This window comes from Homo sapiens, chromosome 11, assembly GCF_000001405.40.
Source record: "Homo sapiens chromosome 11, GRCh38.p14 Primary Assembly".
Lineage (NCBI taxonomy): Eukaryota > Metazoa > Chordata > Mammalia > Primates > Hominidae > Homo > Homo sapiens.
The window spans coordinates 70,332,197-70,349,485 of record NC_000011.10 but is presented as its reverse complement, the minus strand read 5'-3'; the positions used below and the strand labels follow the sequence as shown (position 1 = coordinate 70,349,485).

The following is a 17,289-nucleotide window of genomic DNA, read 5'->3' as shown; positions in this document are numbered from 1 at the left end:
GTTTGGTTTTTTTTTAGATAAAGATGGGGTTCTCACTATGTTGCCCAGGTTGGTCTCTTAACTCCTAGCTCAAGCAATCCTCCCACCTTGGCCTCTCCAAAGTGCTGGGATTACAGGCGTGAAATACCATGCCAGGCCCAAAGGAAAGTTTTAAACATTCCTCAGATCTGCACACTTTGCAAACACCAAACACCAGAAGGTCATTGCATTTCCAGGTGAGAGGTGACCCTAAGCTGTGAAGGGAAGAAGCCCATCTGCTTCCTTAGGGAGCCACGAAGCAGCTGGCTTGTTCACGGCTTCAAATGCAGAACCCATTTCATGTTTTTCCTTTTTTTTTTTTTTTTTTTTTTGGTAGTAGATGCCCAGGAAGCTGGTTGGGCACTCCGAAAGGAAAGAAATGCACTGACCCACTTTGTGCATTTTCCCATATGCTCTGATGTCTGCCTTTATTTACTTTTGCTAAGTGGTTTTTCCTATAAAACAGAAAATATTTCCCCTTCTGGCTGCTGTACTTTGCACAGATGTCATGCCTAATGTCACACAAACAAATGGTGTAATGCTAGCCTGGTCATCCAAATATTAAAATTTTTTTTTATATTTTTTGGGATTTGTTTTGAGACAGGGTCTCACTCTGCTGCCCAGGCTGGAGGGCAGTGATGCAATCATGGCTCACTGTAGCCTCGACCTCCTGGGCTCAGGTGATCCTCCCACCTCAACCTCCAGAGTAGCTGGGACTACAGGCACACACCACCAGGCCCAGCTACTTTTTGTAAAGATGGGGTTTTGCCATGTTGCCCAGCTGGTTTTGACCTCCTGGGCTCAAGTGATCTGCCCACCTCAGTCTCCCAAAGTGTGAGGAATCACAGGCATGAGCCACCACGCCCGGCCCCAGATATTAAAATTAGTTTGTCATAACTGAATGATTAAATAGTAACTAGTTTTTATAATCTTGAACCTCTTAGAATAACGAATGTACTTGATTTTCTTGTGGGTAGATTTGTAGTGTCCAAGATTTCATACAGGTATGCTGAGGGCAGCCACAGCAGGGAAAGGGCGGATACGTACAAGGGTCATGACGCCCAGTCTGTCCACTTCCCGAGCTGGGCTGTGAGGGATCCTTCGTGGGGTGGAGCGCCCACTGCCCGGAGGGGAGGAGCTAGCAAGCGAGGAAGCAGGGTAGGGGGGAATGGAGCTCATTGATCTAAAACGACCAAGATTGTCTAGACTTCCACTGCCAACTCGACTTTCAATCTCCTCTGCCCGCTGCTCTGTATTTTCTTTTTCTTCCTGAATCAACCTAAAATAAAACAAAAGCAGTCAGTCCTCCTGTTTCGGCAAACAGATTAATGTGTTTGCATGAGAAAAACCATGCTTATACTCTGTATTACTATGAGTAAACTCCAGTAATAAGCTGCTCAAACAATGAACACTTCAGCAAAAATGTTCTACTCTTTTTAAATTTTTATTTATTTATTTTTCTTTTGAGATGGAGTCTCGCTCTGTTGCCCAGGCTAGAGTGCAGTGGCGCGATCTCGGCTCACTGCAACCTCTGCCTCCTGGGTTCAAATAATTCTCCTGCCTCAGCCTCCTGAGTAGCTGGGATTACAGGCGCGTGCCACCATGCCCGGCTAATTTTTCGTATTTTTAGTAGACACGGGGTTTCACCATGTTGGCCAGGCTGGTCTCGAACTTCCAACCTCGTGATCCGCCTGCCTCGGCCTCCCAAAGTAGTGGGATTACAGGCGCGAGCCACAGCTCCTGGCCAAATTTTTTATTTTTTCAGACAGGGTCTCACACTGTCATCCCGGCTGGAGTGCAGTAGCATGATCACAGCTCACTGCAGCCTCGAACTCCTGGACTCAAGGGATCCTCCTGCCTCAGCCTCCCAAGTAGCTGGGGCAACAGGTATGCACTACCACGCCTGGCTCATCTTTTAAAATTTTTTTTGTAGAGACAAGGTCTTCCTATGTTGCCAAGGCTGGTCTCAAACTCCTGACTTCAAGACATCCTCCAACCTCAGCCTCCTCCCAAAGTGGTGGGATTACTGGCATGAGCCACCACACTGGCCTCAATCTTTTTTAATATACTACATCTTACAACAACAAAAAGTAAACCTTCCATTGAGTCTTGTTGGTTCTGGATATCATTAACATTTGATTTTACTTATTTACACAAAAATTCTGGAGAAGGCTGGATGGCAATTTTTCCTATGGTTGCAATTAATAATTTCCTTACTAAGTGATATTTTAAAATTTTATGACCCTTATCTCCCCTATTCTTAGAGCAAAGCTGAAGAAATCTACAGATTTCTTCAACTGGAAATCAGGAACTCTAATATAAAGAACAGATGCACAAAACAATTAGGAGTTTCCCAACACTTAACTGTTTAGACTAAACGAAAATATTGAGTTGGTTCTTTTTTTTAGTTTAAATTTGAACCAGAGCGTTATCTGATGGGATTCTCTACCATCCTCATGTAAATTTCTGGATTCATGCCAACCATGCTACATTAATTTGGAATTCAAGATTAACGCTCCTCTCTCCTAGAGTGTCATGGATCACTAGACAGCAGTTTTAATATTTGACTGTGCCAATAATAATTATTCTAGTATTAAAATATAGAAACCTTGCAATAACCCTTCCAATTAAAGTTCTACTTACATTTCTAAGAAAAGTGCTTTTTGATCATTATTAATAGAAGAAAATCCACAAGTCAGTGGACAGAACACTTACATCAGGTCAACTTTCTGCATAAAGAGGAAACACTTTTATCTAGCTATACATCATAAGAAATAAAAACAAAAGGTATATAATCCTTTCCCAGCTCCCATAATGATGAGGAAAGACGATCTTTCTGAACGCTTCATCACACTAATTATTTTGCACCTCCTCCTTCAAAGGGCCCCCATGCCTGGCAACAGATGCTGCAGAGGTCTCTTCGCCAGTTTTCAAGGTGGCACATGAAATGGGAGTTATAAAGTCAAAAACACAGGCAGCACACCAACTTCTTACTTCAGAATGTACAGCCCTATTTTTTTCTTTTTAATAAAAAAAAAAAGCTGGAGTAACACAGCTCTTGTTGATGTTTCTCTCAACCTTCTCTTCTTTACCTCCTGTTCTCTCTGACCAGGACTGGCACCTCCACCCACGTAAACTTCACAAGCAAGTCGTGGCAGCACCCCACCCAGACCTGCTGCAGGACTCCACACACACACCTGCTCCTCCCTTGGATTCAGGCTAGCCAAGCAGCACGTCAGGCCAGGGCCCGAGGGTAGATCCCAGGCACCCCCTGGTCACACTGCTGTGTCCCTAGGCCAAGCCAGCGTGGGCAGGGTTTACCGGTCTCTTCATAAATATAAAAGCAATTCTTGGATTCCATTCTACAGTTGGCCCGTTTTGTAAGTTCTGCATTATAACTGCTAAAGTTGCTAAAGAAAAACCCTTTAAAATACTGACGAGACAAGAAAGATTCAAACCTGCAATCTGAGCACTCACTGTCCATGTTAACTTCACACAGGGAAAGGAACACTGGAGTGGAGCCGTGCACTCCTGAAGAGCTCCAGTGTTCTGTACCAGGCCACTGTGTGACGGGACCTGAACATGTGAGGCTCTGATGTACGCACACTCATCACAGTGCCTGGCCTAATTTTTATATTTTTTGAGACAGATCTCACTCTGTCATCCTGGCTGGAGGGCAGCAGCATGATCACAGCTCGCTGCAGCCTCGAACTCCTGGGCTCAAGGGATCCTCCCGCCTCAGCCTCCCAAGTAGCTGGTGTGACAGGTATGCACTACCATACCTGGCTCATTTTTTTTAATTTTTTTTGTAGAGATGAGGTCTTCCTATGTTGCCAAGGCTGGTCTGAACACAGCCCTGGCTCAATTCCTAGTCTCCTCTAAACCAGTGTCTTCCTCATCTCAACAAACAGACTCCATCCTTCCAGCTGTTCAGCCCAAAGGCTTGGAGTCATCTCTGACTCCTGTCTTTCCTTCTCACCCTGGATCCAATCCCTCAGCAAATCTTGTTGGCACTCCATAACAATACACTGAACATGCTCCATGTGCTCCTTCTCCTTCCTCCTTCACGCCCCTGCTCAGACGTCACCCTCACTATACTGACTCCCTGGCCTCCCTTCTTAAAATTCTTATTTCCCTGCTCACTCCACAACTCAGGGCCGCCCTGAGTCCCACTTCCATGCTTATTACCATCTGACGTACAGGGATCGTTTAAAAATATGTCCACAAACACTTTTAACACTCGTCCCTTTAAGAGGTGGAGGGTGATTCTCACCCCAAACGCTGAGTGTGGGCAGGACTCAGCACCTCACTCAAATGAACAGAATAGAGAGGAAGTGAAGGCTGTGGCTTCCAAGACCAGGACTGGAAAGGCTGTGGGACTTTCTCCTCGCCCTCTCCTAGAGTACGGGCTGCTTGCATCACAATGCAAGGACCCTAGAGCAGCCCCGGTGGCCAGTTCCAAGTGGTGGCTGATGGCCCCGAGGCCTCCTGCCCCAGTTGGGTCTTTCTGTGGCTCCAGCCTTGCCAGATTGAGCCGGGACTGTCCTGCTCTGCTGCTCCTGTGCTCACAGGAGCTGTGAACTACGAAATGTTCACTGTTTTAAGCCACTGAGCTCCGTAGTAATTTGTTCTACACCAACAGTCAACACACACACACTACCAGACTCTATCTGTCGACTGTTTGTGTCCTCTGGGATGCAGGCATTCTTCCTGTTTTATTACACACTGCTGCAGGCCTAGGACTCTACAGGTCTGTAATGGGGCCTGGCCCAAACTAGCTGTTGAGTGACGATGGGGGCTAAAATTATACTTGCGTGTATTGAAACAAACGCTGCTGAACAGACCAAAGTAAGAAGGTAAACGTTCTACACTTTTAAACGTCACTACACACAGCCTCTTCTGTGCAGGAGGCTGCACATGCGGCAGGTGATAGCAACGCGCTCCTTTCAGGGTTCAGGGTCAAGGAGGGACACTAAGACCAGAAGAGGGTTGATAAGCAACCCTTCCTCCCGCTTCCCACCATATGCGCCCGCTCCGGTGTGCATGTGTTCTGAGTGCTGGTCTCTCTGGTGAGTGGCACTGGCCTGTGGAGGCAGCCACTGCTATTCATTCAAGGCAGGCTTCAGTCCGTCATCTCTTCCCAGCCCACCACCGTGCACACCTTTCATCTGCACTCTGGATCAGGAAGGTAGGCCGATCAGCCTCCTCCAGATGTGCTCAGCTCATGTGGCCTTCCAGGTGCAGCTTTCAGGACGGCAGTGGGAGCTGGGCTGAGCCCCTTCAGCACCCTCCAGCTATGTGGCGAGCTTCTCAGGGGAAGGACCTCTCAGGTCCCACAATGTCCTACAGAAAGGTACTAGTGCCGTAACTGTGGGGAGAGTGCCCTGGTTACCTGAATTTTATATTCAAGGGCAATTTCAGACCTTAAAATTCTTAAAACAGAAGTTAAGTAAGTTCTATTATTATGTAATACTTAGAAAATGTTAATAGTATTTCATCCAGACTTTTCCAGGCAAGATGAGATTCCTCAGAGACACCCATGCGTGTGGTGAGTGTCATGCACGGTTGCACACACCTGATCTCTTTGTTGATGGCGTCCAGCTGCTCCTGAAGCATCATGGCTAGTGTGTGCGCGTCGGCCTGCCCGCTGGGCGATAGCAGGTCAACTGAGCTGAGGAGAGTGTCCCTGTCATCTTCACCATCAGACACGTCAGCATCACTCTCGAATGCTTGTGCTACATTTGCCAAGACACTAGCTTGCTGGGCACGTTCCCAATCCTGCTCATTAAGAGTTTGTACCTATAAACAAGAAAACCAAATCTCAGTAGATAAAGTAACAACATTAGTTGTAGAAACATAAATCTATCGGAAATTTAGGAATTCTTTAATGAAAGCCCAAAAGATTTTAGAAAGATGGGCCATGCTTATAAGGTACTGACATGAAGCAGGCAGTATTTAAGAAATTGGGGAGGGCAACAATCCATTCCTTGGACCCTTGTGATATTAACGCCCTAACATGGACATGTGGCATTTCCATGGCGAAATACACAACTGGGAGATGGCAGAGTCAGAAACAAAAACCGAAAATCAGCCGGGAAGGGTGGGCAGGGGGAGGATGAAGAGAGGCTGATCAATGGCTGCAAATATAGCCTTAGAAGAAATAAGACCTGGTGTTGGACAGATCAGCAGGGTGACTAAAGTTAACATTACTAGGTGATACACGCCAGGCGTGGTGGCACATACCTGTAAACCCAGCATTTTGGGAGGCTGAGGTGGGTGATCACCTGAGGTCAGGAGTTCGAGACCAACCTGGCCAGCATGGCGAAACCCCATCTCTACTAAAAATACAAAAATTAGCCAGGTGTAGTGGCTCATGCCTGTAATCCCAGCTACTGGAGAGGCTGAGGCAGGAGAATTGCTTGAACCTGGGAGGTGGAAGTTGCAATGAGTCCAGGTCGCGCCACTGCACTCCAGCCTGGGCGACAGAAAGAGACTCTGCCTCAAAAAAAAAAAAAAAAAAAAAAAAAAAAAGGTGGTACATTTCAAAATAGCTGCAAGGGAATAACTTGAATGTTCCTAGTGTAAAGAAAAGAGAAATACGTAAGGTGATGGATATCCCAATTACCCTGATTTAATTATACGAATGTATCAAATTATCACATATATCCCCAAAATATGTATACTTAATATGGATCAATAAAAAAATACACCTTACTCCAATTATACATGCTACTGGAAAGTTACAGAAATAAAAAAGATTTAAATCCATATCAACTGAGTTCACTCAGTTGCCGTAAATTTCATAAGTGTTTTCAAGTTCCCTCTAACCAACCTGCGTGTCCACATCCCGCCCTACCTGAGGCTGGCACTACCAAGCTCGAACGAGGAAAAGGAGGGCAGCAGCAACTGAGAGAATCAAGGGCAACCTCAAGAATGGCAGTGTATGCGGCATGGGCAGCTCAGTGCTGAGTGGCCGTGTCTGACTGAGGCATTATGTATGTCATCAGAATGCAGAGGGAAAAGTGTGTGTGCCGGGACCTACGCAATCCCCCCAGGGGTGATTCTTTCATGCCACCTCACTCTTCAAGCCCCCAACACCTCCTCTCCCATTCTCACTCCCAACTGGCGACCTTCCCATTTCATGGAGACAAAACCAAGGCCTGCACTCGGCCTTCCTCCTCTCTGAGGTCAGCCCCACCTGCTGGGCAGCAGCCTCAAGCCCTGGCTCACACCCGGATCTCCGGCCATCACAGCTCCCTCTCTGGATAAGCAAGTTCCACTAGCTCGTCCCATTAGCATAAGGACATCTTCTCCCCCATCTCACCTTAAAACACCACGGCAGAAACCAAGGCCCTTCCCCAGTCCCTGCCCGGGCGGGTCTCCTTTCACCCACGCCTCCACTGTTTTGCTCCCAACCAGAGTAAAAGATCCTGGTGAGCCACCTCCATTCTGTCTTCCTCTCCCCACTTCTCTAGACCTTGCTGCAGGCCAGCTTTCAGCGCTTACTTCCCTGCCAGCGGGACTATTCTATGGCAGTTCCAACGTGCTCCCCGTTACTAAGGCCACCAGCTGTCCCTTTGTCCCGTCTCCCACCTGACCTGGCCCATCAGCAGGGTGGGCTCCGCTGCTCTCCTCTCTTCCCTGAGCACTCTACCCAGTTGGTCCCAGGACCCTACCCCTCGCTGGTCATGCCTCTGTCTCATTCCTTCCCAGTCTCCCCACCGATGGCCTTGGAGCACCCCAGAGCTCCATTCTTAGACCTTGTCTCCATCCAGGCACCCATGAGGTGGTGTCATCTTGTCTCATGTTTCTTAATACCATCCATATGCGCAAAATGCCCCAATTTTCATCTCTAGTTCTAGATGTCTCTTGGGTTCCAGACTGTGATATTCAACAGCCAACCTGCCACCTCCCCTGGACAGCTGACAGTCCCATCAACCTGAACATGGCCCTGGCTCAATTCCTAGTCTCCTCTAAGCCAGTGTCTTCCTCATCTCAAAAAACAGACTCCATCCTTCCGGCTGTTCAAGCCCAAAGGCTTGGAGTCATCTTTGACTTCCTCTCTTTCCTTCTCACCCTGGATCCAATCCCTCAGCAAATCTTGTTGGCACTCCATAACAATACACTGAACACGCTCCATGTGCTCCTTCTCCTTCCTCCTTCACGCCCCTGCTCAGACGTCACCCTCACTATACTGACTCCCTGGCCTCCCTTCTTAAAATTCTTATTTCCCTGCTCACTCCACAACTCAGGGCCGCCCTGAGTCCCACTTCCATGCTTATTACCATCTGACGTACAGGGATCGTTTAAAAATATGTCCACAAACACTTTTAACACTCGTCCCTTTAAGAGGTGGAGGGTGATTCTCACCCCAAACGCTGAGTGTGGGCAGGACTCAGCACCTCACTCAAATGAACAGAATAGAGAGGAAGTGAAGGCTGTGGCTTCCAAGACCAGGACTGGAAAGGCTGTGGGACTTTCTCCTCGCCCTCTCCTAGAGTACGGGCTGCTTGCATCACAATGCAAGGACCCTAGAGCAGCCCCGGTGGCCAGTTCCAAGTGGTGGCTGATGGCCCCGAGGCCTCCTGCCCCAGTTGGGTCTTTCTGTGGCTCCAGCCTTGCCAGATTGAGCCGGGACTATCCTGCTCTGCTGCTCCTGTGCTCACAGGAGCTGTGAACTACGAAATGTTCACTGTTTTAAGCCACTGAGCTCCGTAGTAATTTGTTCCACACCAATAGTCAACACACACACACTACCAGACTCTATCTGTCGACTGTTTGTGTCCTCTGGGATGCAGGCATTCTTCCTGTTTTATTACACACTGCTGCAGGCCTAGGACTCTACAGGTCTGTAATGCGGCCTGGCCCAAACTAGCTGTTGAGTGACGATGGGGGCTAAAATTATACTTGCGTGTATTGAAACAAATGCTGCTGAACAGACCAAAGAAAGAAGGTAAACGTTCAAAGGTGAATTCTTTTCACTAAATGACGAATATATGTATTCAATTACTTCTTTTATTTTGTAGAAACAGGGTCTTACTCTGTTGACCAAGCTGGAGCGCAGTGGTGCAATCATAGAGCTCACCATAGCGTTGACCTCCCGGGGCTCAAAGGGATCCTTCTACCCCAGCCCCAAGAATAGCTGGGACTGCAGGGACATGCCACCATGCCCAGCTAATTTCTTTATTTGTAGAGACAGGGTCCTACTATGATGCCCAGGCTGGTCTCAATCTCCTGGGCTCAAAGGATCCTTCTGCCTCAGCCTCCTGAGTAGCTGGGACTATAGGCACACACTACCACACCCAACTAATTTTTTCTTTTTTTTTTTTTTAATAGAGACAGGGGTCTCCCTGTGTTGCCAAAGCTGGTCTCAAGCTCCTGGCTTCAAGCGATCCTCCCAAAGCACTGGGATTACAGGTGTGAGGCACTGCACTCGGCTTTTTATTTTATTTTTTAAGATGGAGTTTCACTCTTGTAGCCCAGGCTGGAGTGCAATGGTGCTTTCTCAGCTCGCTGCAACGCCTCCCGGGTTCAAGCGATTCTTCTGCCTCAGCCTTCTGAGTAGCTGGGATTATAGGCACCTGCCACTGTGCCGAGCTAATTTTTTGTATTTTTAGTAGAGACGGGGTTTCACCATGTTGACCAGGCTGATCTCAAACTCCTGACCTCAGGTGATCCACCCGCCTTGGCCTCCCAAAGTTCTGGGATTATAGGCGTGAGCTACCTGCACCTGGCCTACTCATTTATTTTTAATCACTACTTTAAATCCATGATTATCATTGTATTTAAAAGTGACTGTATTTTTATAAGAATTCCTATTAAAAGGAAAAAAAAAAAAAAACTACAGAGGCCAGGCACGGTGGCTCACACCTGTAGTCCCAGCACTTTGTGAGGCCGAGGCAAGAGGACTGTGTGAGGCCAGGAGTTCAAGACCAGCTTGGGCAACACAGACCCTACCTCTTTAAAACAAAAACAAAAACAAAAACAAAACCCTATTTTAAAAAATGCTCTAAAAGCTAAACTCTTAGTCAGAAAATAGAAAATGAGAGGAGGGCAAGAAAGCAATGACCTATCAACATTTTTATCCCAAAGTAGTCTGAAAGCCACGGGATAAGTAGGTAACTTTCACGTAAGCAGAGGTATTTCACACAAAGACCTTGCCTTGGAAGGCTCATCTCGCAGGGCTGCCAGCCGGCCTTTCTGTGGGCGCCGCAGCACTGCACTGGTGCTGTAGGAGTCTGTGTGGCCGTCTGCCATGGGGAACCTGAAATCTGGGACACTGCCCAAGTGGGGTCGGCTGAAACATGAAAAATAAGAATGATCATTATTAGAAGAAAAGAAAATAAACTCTCTTTTAGTTAAGGCAGAATCTATCAATTTGGAAAAGTTATTCCACACAGGAAAGGGTCTCCAGGGAGGGCACTGCTCTCATCTGCCCCAAGAGCTACATGTTGCCTGCTCCAGGCCAACAGTTTTAGTCTCTCAGCCCTACCAGGTAGAAAGCTCTCCAGGAAAAGCTGTGCAGACAGCCAAGGTGATGAGCCACAAGGAGCCCAGCTGTCTAGGATGAGAGAGACCCCTCCTCTGGGTCCAGGTGTCTGGCTCTGCATTTCTGCTCCACTTTCCCAGGGCTGACGAAAAACACAGCCACACGCCACTGCTGGCCTTCAACTGCTCTGCAATTGTCCCACCCGTGCCAGCATCTGTGGTGTGAGATCTTGGGATCTGTCATTCTGCTCTTACATCATCAGTGTCACACTCTGCTGGGCACCTAAATTAAGATATCCAAATATTAACTGATCAAAACTCCTCCTGTGTTTTGGAGTTTCGCCAATGATGTGTCTCCTCAGTACCAAGCTCTAACCTTTGAGTTACTTTTCTCTCTCGCTTCCTACTAAGCTACAGGCTCCTTGAGGTCACACCATTAGCCACATCCAGTTAGGCTGCCCACATAGCCAAGAACTGGCCTGCCACAGGTGCTGACAATATGGCTGCTCACTGGTTAATACCATACCCATGATGAAGTGAAGCACCTCTTAGTCTCATGTGGTCTAGTTCAGCCCTCAGTGCTTCAATGTTTAGGACAAGCTGATCCTACAGAAAAGCAAAAGACTTACATTACTGCTATCTCTTTTAGATTTTAAAACCACTTACTTCAAATGTGCTCAGATGTTGGGCATAACCCTAACAGGTTAAATCAGCAGTTACAAATACCAAACATTTTAATTCTGGGAAAATTTTCTCCAAGAGTACTGCAATAAACATAAACACTCAGACTACTATATTAACTTTGTAAGCCCTAATGAATGAAAAGCTGTGTCTTAGTCATAGAAAAGCTTTTCAGAAGATAAACACCAAATGATTAACAATTATTAGTTTCGTAGAGAAGCAGACTCTTTTAGAGGAGAAGGGGAACAATATTCACGTCCTGTGCATCTCTGTATTGTGTTTAATTGTCTTACATCAAGTATGCACCCATCCCTGTGTCATGGGTATACTTGATCTCATTTCTAGAGCTGTGCTGTCCAACACTGGCCAGACGTGGCTACTGAGCCCTGTAATGGGTTAGTCTAAATGGAGATGTGCTATGACTAGGAAATACACAGTGGAAAAAGAACGCAAAGTAGCTCACTTGTTTCTATTAATACATTATGAAATAATAACATTTTGCATATACTGAATTAAATAAAATAGATTTTACCTATTACTTTCTAAAATATGACTATTAGAAAATTAAACATTACATATGCAGCTCATATTATATTTCTGTTGGACAGCACTGTCATTGATGCTAATATTTTAGCTTCAAATAAACCCAGAAAGGACTCCGAATTCTGAACCATATGCATAGCCAGACTCAAAATCACCTGAAATACAAAGGCATTCAACATACAAGCCTGAGAGTGCTAGAAACTTATGGCAGTGGACTATGAGAGCCACAAACCAAGCTGCTCTCCACTGTCAGACATCTGCAGTAACTATCATCATCATCAACTCAGTTCAACTTGGCTCTTCATGGATTTAGAGAAGATTTCAGTACCTTATCGTGTTGTGTTTCTTCTAACTGCTTTTTTGCACTTTCAACTTCTCTTAAAAGAGAGTTCTGAAAAAAGACAGATAGTCCTTTAGTGTTTCTTTAAAATGTCCCATTTAAATATAGCATGGCTGTATTCGTTTAAAAAAAAAAAGGACCACACAAAGGGAACGGAGTAAAAGAGCACACCAGCAAGCACTGCTGTAGTCCCAGGGTTAGACCGTGAGGCGGCGACACCTTCTCTTATATCTCTTACTAATATATCTACTCCTCACCAACTGAACTTCCTAAAGGTAGGTATGTCAAGTTCATGGTGCAAGTTCATTTTAATCAGTTAAACTGGCTTATACTAACTTTTAGGCTTTACAATTTCTTGGTCACTTGGGAAACCTGAATTTAAGTTTCAAATGCATAATTAAAATCAAAGATAAAAACACTGCTCCATTAAGGCTGACCCACTGATCAAGGAGGTGAGTGGGATAATGACTCTGTATGGTCTCTGGAAATGCCCTCCATGGTCAGCACCGTGTAAATAAACGTGTCATGCAATGAGCGGGAATCATTAGTCTCTCAGATGAGCAGACCCCAATCCTAACAACCAATCTCAGGGCAGTTTCTGAGTCCCATCGCTAGGGACACTGCACAGTCAGGACAGGCTTTATCAAACGGGAATCCAGCTGCTGCCCATTAGAGCTTCTCCGACACAGATTCTAGGATATCCCTTCGCTCTGGTGACAGCTAACATGTTTCCATGATGACAGTACTCAGAGTCCAGGCTTAAACTTTTTCCAAATCAAATGAAAAAGAACGAAGGTAGAGGTTGGAATATTTATTTGGTTTCAGCTGACTGAACCCTTTCTAGTACACGATACAACCTAAGTGACCTATTTATAAATGAGACAGAAATTAACTTTTTTTTTTTTTTTTTGAAACAGGATCTTGCTCTGTCACACAGGCTGAATGAAGTACAGTGGCGCAATCTTGGCTCACTACAACCTCCACCTCCTGGGTTCAAGCGATTTTCATGCCTTAGCTTCTCAAGTAGCTGGGACTACAGGCGGGTGCCCCCAGGCCTGGCTAATTTTTATATTTTTAGTAGAGATGGCGTTTGGCCATGTTGGCCAGGCTGGTCTTGAACTCCTGGCTGAAGTGATCTGCCTGCCTCAGCCTCCCAAAGTGCTGGGATTACAGACGTGAGCCACCACGCCCAGCCAGAAATTAACTTCCAATGCATGAATAATAAAGGGGTGAGGGTTGGGCCCAAAAAATGATCCTAGTGCAGGGGCTGGCAAACTAGAACCTGACGGCCAAAACCAGCCCACTGCTTGTTTCTACAAATGAATTTTATTGGAACATAGCCAGACTCATTCATTTACACGTTATTTATGGCTGCTTTTGTGCTAATGACTTGATTGGCATAAAATTATTTAATTACTCATAACTACTAAAAGCCTAAAATATTTACAATCTGGCCCTTTATAAAAACCACTTACCTACTCTCATTCTAGAGAATAAGAATGATAAACAATTTCCCATACACACAAATGGGGCATGGACTTAGCAAACAATAAGTTAATTCAGTGACTGGATAACTGTGCATACCTTTTCCACTTTAAAGAATAATTCCCATTTTCGGTAACAGCTGCTAACCACTGTTACACACGCCTGCTCAGGGGCAGATGAGCAATCTTTTGGCAGAGGGTGGGAAAGCTCCAGCATGTCCGTGTTATCTAACTTACCTTATCTTCCAAAGCAGCCATTCTCTCTTTAAGATGAAGTTGAAGCCTCTCATTAGATTCTGAAAGCAGCTTGTCAACAGTGTCTGATAAACGTTTATTATGTTCTTCGTTCATTTTTTCTCTTTGCCTTGCCTAAAGCAGGAGAAACAAAGTCTTATAAACCTCACGTAAATCCTCGATCATTATTTTAAAAGCACAAGGACCAACAGGGTGAGCCCCATGTGTGCCCTCCCCTCCCCCAGTTGCTCCCCACACTGCCATCTTGAGTGGACTTTTGCATGGTGACCAGAACCAACTCATGGACACAGGGAGCACGGGACAAGTCTTGGAAAGGTCATTAACTAGAAGGTCCCACTGCTCCTGCCACAGGACTCCTCAGGAATGTCACTAGTTGTTAACTGTCAGAGGGACTTAAGGAGCAGATTTATAGCAGATATTTAGAGGATGAGCCTGTCTCCACGCTGGTAGAGGAATTTCCCCTTGTGTAACTAAAAGCTTGGGTCTGGATTTGGGGAGGAAGGGTGAACTTAATTTACAAAGCAAAAAAGTTAAAAAGTTTGTTTTGGAAAAAAAAATTGTGCTAGAGAGACCTTCATATTTTTTCTTTATATCTTTATGTTGCTTAAATTTCTCGTAATGGAAATTTACATTCAAAAATTATAAATAATTACCTTAAGTAATTTTAATATGTAGTAACAAAACTGACATGTCTATTATTTTATAAAACCATAATCAAATTCATGGTTTAAAACCTTTGTTTCTCAAATGACAGGCAGAAAGGGACAGGAAGTGTCAGTAGGTGGCACCTGTCCAGGTGGCACCTCCATGCCCTCATCGCCCAAGTGCCCTTGCAGTGCTCAGGGGGCTCCTCCCAGGCAGGAGGCAATGGCACGGGGTTACGACGTGCACCCGAGTCATGCTGCCCAGGCAGGAGGAGACAGCCATGAGACCGCGCCATCAGCAGTGCATTCGAACCCCGTGCGCCCAATTTCTGCACTGGGAAAACATGGGTAGTGACCTCTCCTTTTCTCATAAGGTCTAACATGTAGCAACTATCATTACCTGAAAGGGTCCAGCACATCATGTGCCATACGGAGTATCGCATACTTCCTCTTGGGAAAGAAACAATATCCTTCTTTGTGCTTATTTTCCGTCAGCATTTAAATAATTTTTAAAGAACACAGCTTAAAGTTCACTGTTGTGTCTGTGAGCATGAGTGTGCATTTTGGAAGGGGAGGTGGGGACTGCCTAAAATGCACCCTCTCACTGGGAGTCGGAATCGTCGTTTCCCAGAAGCTCCTTTGATTCTCTGCAGGGCATGGCCAAGAATACAGATTTCTGGTGAAAACAAAATCTAGTAGCCTTAAATTAATGTTATAAAGTGGGCTGATGTGACGGTGCAAGAGTTCTAAAATTAGACGCTGCATGCTTCCTTTCTCCACCTACTTGTTAAAGAGAAATCTACCCCAAACCCCAGGCCTGGTACCAGCTGGCCCTGGGACTGCTCTTGCTATATCTTTTTCCTGGATGTTCCATATTGACATCCACCCAACTCTTTCAGGAAAACAATCTTAGGATTCAATGGACAGAAGTCTCCACTGCCACACTCCTTCCTAGTGCTTTTTATTGTAGCTCAATTACGGTGTTGCTCTTGCTTAGAAACATTCATTCCAACACGCCATTATGTTTGGAGTATTTTAACCTGGGACAGAGGTCAGGCCTCTGACCTGCATGTGGGAATTCAGTGCCATATCCTAGAAAAGTGGACTAGTCATTCAGGACAATGGACCTGCCTCTACATTTGCAGGGGGTAGGGGGGCCACGCCGGTACCACAGCTACCTAGAACAGTTCCCCTGATAGGCCGCTAGACAAGCAAGAAGCATTTTTGGACACCTGAAGTACTGCCTAGGATCTCAAATTTCTTCCGCAGCTCCCAATACTGACTGAAAACAACTACTGTGTGGGATGTACGCATTAGCAGGCGACTCACAGATGAGGGTGCAAAACAAATGCACGCGACCAGAACTGAGCTGGAGGACCAACATCTCAGTCAGGGGTGGGAGGCCCTGAGCTCCCCACAGCCGAGCAATGACCTTGCAGCACCCACTCAGCGCCCCCACCCTCAGGGCTGCATGCTCACCCGCTGCAGTTCTTGATTCTTCTCCTCCAACTGTGCTTCCATCTGTCGTAACCTTTCTTCAATGTTGCCGTGTCTCTCTTCAGCCTGTCAGCAGAAACAGCGTACGCTGACGTCATCCTTACACTTCATTAACGACATGCTGCATACCACTGCAGTGGCAACAGGCACAACATGCTCTGCGTGGGCTGCTCCGCCATACTAAATGGAAAGCATGTACTCATCCATCAACACAGCCTACGGGGCTTCACGTGCTGGGCCATGAGGTGGCTAGCCCTCTTGTGTTGGTGATTCTGAAGCATGGCTGCTGCTGGCGACTGACTGGGTGTTTTCCCCCCAACCCCTATGCCCAATCTCAATGGAGTCGTGATTCTCCCATCCTTGGACTGCTTCTGGTTAGTAAGCATGGAAAGCAGAAAGCAGCGGCAAGCACAAGCAAGGAGCAGTGCACCCATTCTACCTTCCTAAGCTTGGAAGTAAGTTCCAACAGTTTAGCTTCCTTAGCAGCAGAGCTCCCAGAAGACAAAAGGTCAGACTACAAAGCCGACAAGGGACAGGAAAGATAACAGGGGAGAAAAGAAATCGAGACTTTAAAAGCAGATCATGGAGTGGGAGGATAGGTTCTTACAGCTGTTAGCAACAAACTTGCTAGAAGGAACAGGTGTGTGAGCCCTAAAACCATCTGAATGGTCCAGAAGGATGCCCTCCCCAGCAGCTTGAAAAGCTTGAGCAAGAAGACTCAGGACGACAGACAGGGGCCTCAGCTCCTGCTGCTCGCCTGCCTGGCACTGCAGTGCTGGGCTCCCCACGCCCCAGAGGCTGGGTTTGTGCCCGGTGATGCGCTCCCTGGGTACTCGCCGATCCCAGGACCTATGACAGCATTTGCCTCTTTAGCTGCTTCCCTCATGAATGGGGAGAACTTGGAGGGACTGTGTCTTGCACATGCCTAGTCAACAGTTGTTGGACAAATGAATAAATATTACTTAAAAACACATTTTTAAGTAATTTCAAAATAATAAATATTACTTAAAAATACATTTTTAAGTAATTTCAAAATAATAAAATTACTTAAAAATGTGTTTATGAAGAATTTATCTTGATGGTGTTTTTAAAAGAACGGCATCTTCCTATTTCTGAGAAAAACTACCCTTCTTTTACAGAGACTTCTATCCTATGCTTAAGCTGGTGACCAAAACAATTCTAAGAAGCAGTAACTCTCAGATCACACATGCCGTGGACAAATAGTATACAGCTCACAAAACCAAGGTAGACTTCGGGATAAAAGGATCATGTCTGGCATTTACAAAGTGTTCCAATCTCAGATGAAAGAGCACTCAAACCAAATCCGTGCTCTTCCACG

General features: G+C 46.1%; 1 protein-coding gene across 33 annotated transcripts in view, besides 2 other annotated features; it reads right to left on the bottom strand.

The window, feature by feature from the left end:
• The window catches only part of PPFIA1 (PPFI scaffold protein A1), a 113,707-nt gene that overhangs the window by 34,911 nt on the left and 61,507 nt on the right, over positions 1–17,289 (bottom strand). For 16 of the 33 annotated variants that reach the window (XM_006718716.4, XM_011545309.3, XM_011545307.4 and 13 more), the window contains exons 10-17: positions 16,390–16,464; positions 15,933–16,016; positions 13,792–13,923; positions 12,059–12,121; positions 11,033–11,112; positions 10,180–10,315; positions 5,594–5,817; positions 1,066–1,297 (exon numbers count right to left, since the gene is read on the bottom strand). In XM_006718716.4, the coding sequence (XP_006718779.1) occupies positions 1,066–1,297; positions 5,594–5,817; positions 10,180–10,315; positions 11,033–11,112; positions 12,059–12,121; positions 13,792–13,923; positions 15,933–16,016; positions 16,390–16,464 (1,026 nt within the window). Of the gene's footprint in view, positions 1–1,065; positions 1,298–5,593; positions 5,818–6,261; positions 6,386–10,179; positions 10,316–11,032; positions 11,113–12,058; positions 12,122–13,791; positions 13,924–15,932; positions 16,017–16,389; positions 16,465–17,289 lie in introns of those variants that run through there. The other 17 variants (XM_011545310.4, XM_047427766.1, XM_047427765.1 and 14 more) reach the window with 3 other exon arrangements.
• Positions 6,904–7,481: an enhancer, noted in NCBI's record as "H3K27ac-H3K4me1 hESC enhancer chr11:70188111-70188688 (GRCh37/hg19 assembly coordinates)". NCBI's record gives its function as "activates a minimal SCP1, AML or CMV promoter by ChIP-STARR-seq in naive H9 embryonic stem cells {active_cell/tissue: H9 hESC(naive)}" and the evidence as "EXISTENCE:reporter gene assay evidence [ECO:0000049][PMID:30033119]".
• Positions 7,482–8,060: an enhancer, noted in NCBI's record as "H3K27ac-H3K4me1 hESC enhancer chr11:70187532-70188110 (GRCh37/hg19 assembly coordinates)". NCBI's record gives its function as "activates a minimal SCP1, AML or CMV promoter by ChIP-STARR-seq in naive H9 embryonic stem cells {active_cell/tissue: H9 hESC(naive)}" and the evidence as "EXISTENCE:reporter gene assay evidence [ECO:0000049][PMID:30033119]".